This window comes from Homo sapiens, chromosome 12 (assembly GCF_000001405.40).
Source record: "Homo sapiens chromosome 12, GRCh38.p14 Primary Assembly".
In the NCBI taxonomy this organism is placed as follows: domain Eukaryota; kingdom Metazoa; phylum Chordata; class Mammalia; order Primates; family Hominidae; genus Homo; species Homo sapiens.
Window position 1 is genome coordinate 34042368 of NC_000012.12, and position 7621 is coordinate 34049988.

Sequence of the window (7621 nt, forward strand, 5' to 3'; positions counted from 1 at the left end):
TTATTCAATTTTTGCAATATTTGTATTATTAATGCTTTGTATTATTAATGCTTTTTTGGAATTATTTGTATTATTAATATACTTATTAATATTTGTATTAATGATTTTAATATGTAATATATTATATATTCCTTTTATAGAAATATGTCAGAATATTTATTTAGAAATTTATATATATTTATTATTTAGAAACATTTAACATTTAAAAATAAGTAATGTCCTAAATAAACAATGTAATGTTCTAAATAAACATTTCTTAGAAATATATTTGTATGCGTATGCCCATATGTGCACGTGTGTGTGTGTATGCCAGCTGTAAAAAGAAAATTCTCTACTTTGTATTTTTGATAATTAGAATTATAGTGGTGGTGATTTGCTTTGATATAAAACATTTGACAAACATCACCAGTGAATGTCTGTCTGATGCTATTTAAAATTAAAATATTATCACATATTAATATGTATAGAAAAATAAAGACATGAAAAGAAATCAAGGCTAAAGATAAAAAGCCATTTCTCTTTGCAACATCAGCAGTTGTAGTTGCAGCTCATTTCTCTTTTGCCATTTACCCTGTTCGAAACAATATCCTTTGTCTTGCAGTTATATCGATAAATTCTTCAGGCAGTCAGTTCCAAAGCTGCTCTCTGAAGATGTTGGAGCTCTGAGTCACTGAGGTTCAGTTTGAATTTAATGTTTGATGTTATATTGATGCTTTTTAAATTGTGGATCATCATACCTAAATGTTTACCTAGATCTTTCCAAATCTAGGCATATCAAATAATATTAAAAAGCTAGCATTTATTTTGATCTCATTTGTTTTCATAATTATATTGCTTGGTGTGATAGTGATTTTTTGCTGTTTTTTTTTTTTGGCTGATATCAAGGAAGGGATGCTTTTTTATCCACATAAATAAGCAAGACCATTATTGGATGCCATCTACCCACATTACTGTCTGACCCTGAAGACAAATACAGTCAACTCACTTATGTGGGTGGACAGTGTTCATTTATGTTATCCACCTTGCTAATTAAAAATAGGGAAATCTTATACATAATGAAATAGTTCTTGTGCTTCTCAAAAACATGATTTAATTTGCACTGATTTACTCATACATGATTTGGTATAGCAGTTTATTATCCTTACTAAGCAATTCTATAGAATTTTACATTCAAAATCATTATCTTGTTTTTGCTCTTATAGAACACAACATAAAGTGAATATCAACAAATTTATAATTACAAACTGAATAGCAATAATCATTATAGTTTAAACAACTATTTACAACTAGTACAATATTTATACAAATATTGTATTATATAAATAAAACAACAAATATTCAGCTCATAGCTCTGTTGGTCAGAAATTTGGACTGGGCTAAACTGCGTGATTTTCCGCTGGTCTCAGTTACACCTACAAGTTCAGCTAAACCATTTTGCATGTCAAAGCAAAGGAGTGTGACCACCTATTGACTGAGGGTGTTGGGAAGCCTGGACTATATGTGTCCAACTTGCTAGCCTGGAAATTTTAACATGGTAGCCTTGTCAGCAGTCCCAAGAGGATCAAGAAAGGGCAAACCACAATATACAAGTAGTTTTCAAGTTGCTGCTTGTTTTATGTTTGCCACTGTTTCACTGGACAAAGTAAATCACATAGCCAAGTCCAGTCACCATGCAAGGGTACCACCAATGGGCTTGCATGAAGAGGGAAGAATTTGTAGTTGCTTTTTAAGTCAGCCACAGATGGATTTTGGGGAAACTGATTCATGGATTCCTACTTTGCTGTCTTTTTAAAAATATTCATTTATTATAATTAGAATTGATATTAGACAGCAGCTGGTAGCTTAGACAGCAGGCATTTCTGCTCTCTTATGCTGCCATGTTGTGAGAACTGGACATTTAGCTCACCTTCATGATGTTATGTACTTTAATATGTGAATTTACTCATTCTCAACTTTTCCTTATTAGTTCATGTACTATTTTTTTGGTTCATCAGCTGAGAACTCTGATACTTTTAGGCATTGGCCTCAGATGTGCTATGTATCATTAAATTATGTGATTCAAAGTCCTGCAAGAATAAAAGAATAATCTCAGCCATAAGTCTTGAACTTTGTTATAAAAGAGTAGATTGCAACTGTCACCAGAATCTTAAATTTTCCTCTTAGGGCATTTTAAATGATTAACATACCAAAGTTCTTAGTAAATAGTTGGTTTTATGTATAAGTAAGAATCCAAAATAGTCCCTGTGTGGGTCTACCTTTATTTAAATGATTTTTCTGTGTTCTGAATATTGTGGAGTCTTCTATTTGGAATTATTGTTAGAATTCTGAAGTCCCACTTTGGGGGAAAAAATTATTCATTCCAGAGCCATATACAACCTGTTTCTCTTTCTGTGATTTCTTCCCTTCCTACTTCACTTTCATGAGTTCATCCTATGTCATCTTTCTGTCCCTCCCAATGTCAAAGGCCCTGAGGAAAGGGCCTGGTGAAATGGACTCTGGAGTTAGACTGAGGCCCAACAGCCTAACAAGCCTTAAGTAAATGTGTGATCTTTCTGCCTGTTTCATCCAGGTATCACTAACTTAGTCCATGTTCCAGCGATGACCTGTTACTTCTACATAACAGAAAAATAACCCCAACTTAAGTACAAACAAAATAAAATGAAAAGGAATTTATTGGGGAATCAGAGAAACAGCTATAAAGTTTTAAGCCCTTCCTAGAGCCTCAGGGCTAGAACTGGCCCTCAGAATATTTTTCCTTGTCTTTATTTCTCTTTGACTGTTGGCTTTTCCTCTCCTACTACAGGCAGATTCTTCCATTGAGTCAGGAATAATGACCAACAGGATCCCTATGCTCATATCACCTTAGCAGTCATTAAGGAAAGAAGGATTAGGACTGAGTTTCTTTCTTTCATTACCTTTGATTACTCTGGTTCCAGAGCCAAAAAAGCCTTTGTTATCTTTAAATACAAGTGAAATACTACTGAATTTTACTACATGGCAGATACTGTTTTATGAGGTTTCCATGATTAAGTAATTTAATCCTCACAGGAACTATTACAGATAATCATATAAAGTAGGTATAATTCCATATTATACCCATTTTACAGATGAAGATGTTGAAGAACTAAATAATGAAATAACTTTTCCATCACACAGCTAGTAAATGGCAGAGCCAGGATTCAGTATAAGGAAATCTACGCCAGGGAAAATGCACTTGTGAACTTGCCATGGTTTGGAGGTTTCCTAAGTTTTTACATAGGCCCCTCCCAGGAAATGGCAATTCATGTTCTAAAACAGTTTTTTAAAACTAAAACCTAATCCTCTTTGAAAAGATAGTAAATTTGAAATACATTTATAGGTACATTTTTGATAGTGTGCAATTCAGGACTCAGAGTTGGAAAACAATTAACCTCAGGTTTATTTGGGTAGCTGGAAAAATTAAAGGACTAAATGTAATTTTGGCTGGAGAGTAAATGATCATGTAAAGCAAAGACCTGTCCAAAAAATTTCATATTGGATTCATTCCACCTTCATTATGATTAGCCATGTTTGAGGTTTGCATTATTTCTTGTTCTTTATGTGGACATTAGTTATCTACTTTATAAAGAATATTTTACTGTAATTTTTAAAAGAAATACCACAAATACTTTGTACTATTGGATGTAAATAAAACACTTATATGCAGTGAAATGACTTATAGTAATTTATAAATTAAAGTTACTTACTGTAGGACAAATTGAATTGTGGAGCAACAGGATTCTGTATCTTTTGAAATCTGGTGTTCTGGAATAAGCTACATTTTCATAAACGACAGTTTATTTTCCCGTCAACTCCCAGTTATTTTTTACTCTTTGTCAACTGATGTTCAGCTTCTTAATTTTATTTGAGCTGCACAGAATATACAAGTTTCTTGTTCCGAAAGCCCTTGTTATCTGTGAAGAGGCTGGAAAGAGGCTGTGCAGGTTAACGACTATCTCTTTCACCTCTGGGGCTGTTTCTTCAAGTCCAAGATCAGTTCCTTTCTTTTCTGACTACTGCCCTTCGCAAAAAGTGAAATAAAAGTCTTTTTGAAACTAGTCATCACTCATAAGACATGGTAAACAAAGACAAAGAAGAAAACTAACCATTCTGAAGTGAATTTTTGGCTGAAAACATTACTTATCTTAAACCTCCAGAGACTTTGTTATCCAATTTTATATAGAGTTGGTGGTTGGAAGTGCCATATGGGTTCACATTCAGATGAGAACATATTTTGCAAGCAAAAATAGCCACATGTATAGGTTTGTGAAAATCAAAGTAAATATACTAAAGGACATGTTTTCAGGACTCAATCTAGAAGTTCTTGCAGTACAAAATTTTTTCCTGTTTTTCCATATCAATAAGTATCAATAATCAATGATCAATGTCAATAAATATTGATCACTTGTGATATGTTCTGAACTATTTTAAATATTGGCCATGCCCCAGGAAAATAGGGTAAATTGACATGTATTGAATAACAACTGTGAGCTAGAAATTGTTATTCATTCATACAGCACATTTACTTTTCAAGGCTGGGGATGAAGCAGTGAGCTAGGTAGACAAGGTTCCTGGTTTCAAAGAGGTTACATTCTAGTAAAAGAGACAGATCATAATCAACGAAACAGCATTCAGTCATGTGTCACTTAACAACGGGGATACATTTTGAAAAATACATTGTTAGGTGATTTCGTCTGTTTGTGAACATTATACTGTACTTACACAAACCTAGAGGGTGTATCCTACTACACGCCTATGCTATATGGTATAGCCTATGGCTCCTAGGCTATAAACCTTTACAGCATGTTACTGTATCAAATATTGTTGGCAACTGTAACACAATGGTAAATATTTATGTTTTTAAACATAGAAAATGTACAGTAAAAATACTGTATTATAATCTTATGGGACCACCATCATACATGAAGCCCATTGATGACCCCGACATCCTTATGTGGCACCTGACTGTAATTTCAGATACAAGTAAGTGCTATGAAGAAAATGTTAAAAGGGTGATATAATAGAGATAAGTCAAGAGGGGGACCCTGAGAGATAGGTGAAGGTATCAATTAGAAGGAAATATTTGTGTCAAAACCTGAAGGAAACAGCTGCTTGACCAAAGTTCATCATGGCGGACAGGAGGCAGGACTAGATTGCAGCTCTGACTCAGATAGATGGAGCAGCATGCAGAGGCTCATATCATGGAATTTTAGCTCCGGAATGACTGCAAGAACAAATGACTGCAGGAATCCCAAGAGGACCCACAGACCCTCTAAAGGAAGTGGACTGTTCCTGTAGAACCTGGGAGACACCCCAAATACTGTCAGTGCCCAAACTGCAGAAGTCGGAAAGGGAGATCCTCTACTCCCAAACATACACCCCCACAGGGAAACTCAAGGTCTAGTTTGCAGAAGTTTCTGACCTTACCTGAAGCTGAGTCAATTTAGAGAGCCGAGCACAATACAGGGGTAGAGGAAGCAGCAGGAAAGGCCCTGGGAGCTCACTGGGTCCCCAAGCAGGCCATTCCTACCTGGAACCACAGGGATCCTTTGGGAGGGTGGCCAGAGGTGCAAGGAAAATGCCACAGAGAGGTCTCCAGCTGAACTTTGTAACAATTTGAACCAGGTGAGAAGCCTCCTGGCCAGAATTCAGGGGATGTTGGTGCAAGGGCTCAGGCAGGGCTTGCTTGTCTGACGTAATGTAAAAGAGTCTTGGAACATGTCCTGGGTCCAGGGTCTAAAACCTCTCATGGCCTATGGAACACCAAGCTCTGTGCCAAAGGGTGGAAGGCTGCCCTGCCACACCATAATCTAAGCCCAGGGCATAAAACCCCTCGTGGCTTGGAGATAATCCAGGGCTCAGGGCATTAACCCCTTGTGGCCTTGGGAATGTGTCCAGACTCGCTGGCTCCTTGCTCCTTGCTCTCCCAGGATCGATTGTATCTTGAGTTAAAAGAACCTGCTCTCCATTATCTCAAGTAGCAGAGCATATGCTAAACCATCACAGCTACACTTGATGTACCACTACCTTTCTACCCCCACATCCTCACGTCCTCACCTGTCTACCCCTATGTCTGCACACCCTCACCACCTGCTTCTTTGTTTGATTACCAATAAATAGTGTGGGCTCCCAGAGCTCAGGGGCTTTGCAGCCTCCATACTAGCATTGGCCCCCTGGACCCACCCTATGTACTCGTAACTTGTCTTGTCTCATTCCGTTGACTCTGTTGGACCTCGTAGCCCCCATGGCCTGGTGTTGGGTCTGATCACCGCAATAGGGGAGGGCATGAATCTGGCATACAGACTTCACAGGCAGGGGGAAGAACCAAAGCCCTTACTTTCACAGCTGGGAGGTGGGTAGCCTGGGGCAAGTTCTCAAGCCCTGCTTGCTCACTGCCTGGAAACAGACTCAGTGCTGTTAGGTGGAGGCACAGTGGGAGTGAGACCAGCCCTTTGGATTGCATGGGAGCTGTGTGAGGCCTGTGACTGCCAGCCTCCCCCACTTCCGTGACAACCTGAATGACTCAGCAGAAGCAGCCATAATCCTCCTAGGTACACAACTGCATTGATCTGGGAACCTCACCCCCATCCCCTACAGCAGCCACAGCAAGACCCACCCATGGAGAGCCTGAGCTCAGATAAGCCTAGTCATGCCCCCACCTGATGGGCCTTCTCTTCCGTCCCTGGTAGCTGAAGACAAAAATCATATACTCTTGGGAGTTCTAGGGCCCTGCCCACCACTTGTTCCTCTCCATACTATCACAGCTAATGCTTTCTGGAAAGTGCCACCTCTGGCAGGAGGCCAACCAACACAAAAATAAATCATTAATCCACCAAAGCTAAGAACTCCTCACAGAGTCCATTTCACCACCCCTGCCACCTGCACTGGAACAAGTGCTGGTATTAATGGCTGAGAGACCCACAGATGGTTCATGTCACAGGACTCTGTGCAGACAACCCCTAGTACTAGCATGGAGCCTGGTAGACTTGCTGGGTGGCTAGATCCAGAAGAGAGATAACAATCACTGTAGCTTGGCTCTCAGGAAGCCACATCTATTGGAAAAGGGGGAGAGTACTACATCAAGGAAAAACCCCGTAGGACAAAAGAATCTGAACAGCTTCAGCTCTAGAACTTCCCTCTGACAAAGCATACCCAAATGAGAAGGAACCAGAAAACCAGCTCTGGTAATCTGACAAAACAAGTTTCTTTAACATCCCCAAAAAACCACACTAGCTCACCAGCAATGAATCAAACAAAGAAGAAATCCCTGACATACCTGAAAAAGAATTCAGGAGGTTAGTTATGAAGCTAAACAAGGAGACACCAGAGAAAGGTGAAGCCCAATGCAAGAAAATCCAATACCAATACAAGAATTGAAGGGAGACATATTCAAGGAAATAGATAGCATAAAGAAAAAAAACAATCAAAGCTTCAGGAAACAGACACACTTATAGAAATGCAAAGTGCTCTCTGAAAAGTCTCAGCAATAGAAATGAAGAAGTAGAAGAAAGAAATTCAGAGCTCAAACACAAGGTCTTCAAATTAACCCATCCAACAAAGACAAAGAAAAAAGAATAAGAAAATATGAACAAAGCCTCTATGC

At 38.5% G+C, this 7621-nt stretch overlaps 1 annotated feature.

Moving 5' to 3' along the window:
- Positions 6137-7336: an enhancer, noted in NCBI's record as "MED14-independent group 3 enhancer chr12:34201439-34202638 (GRCh37/hg19 assembly coordinates)". NCBI's record gives its function as "activates an origin of replication core promoter dependent on BRD2, BRD4, P300/CBP and CDK7 cofactors, and independent of MED14, by STARR-seq in HCT116 cells {active_cell/tissue: HCT116}" and the evidence as "EXISTENCE:reporter gene assay evidence [ECO:0000049][PMID:35650434]".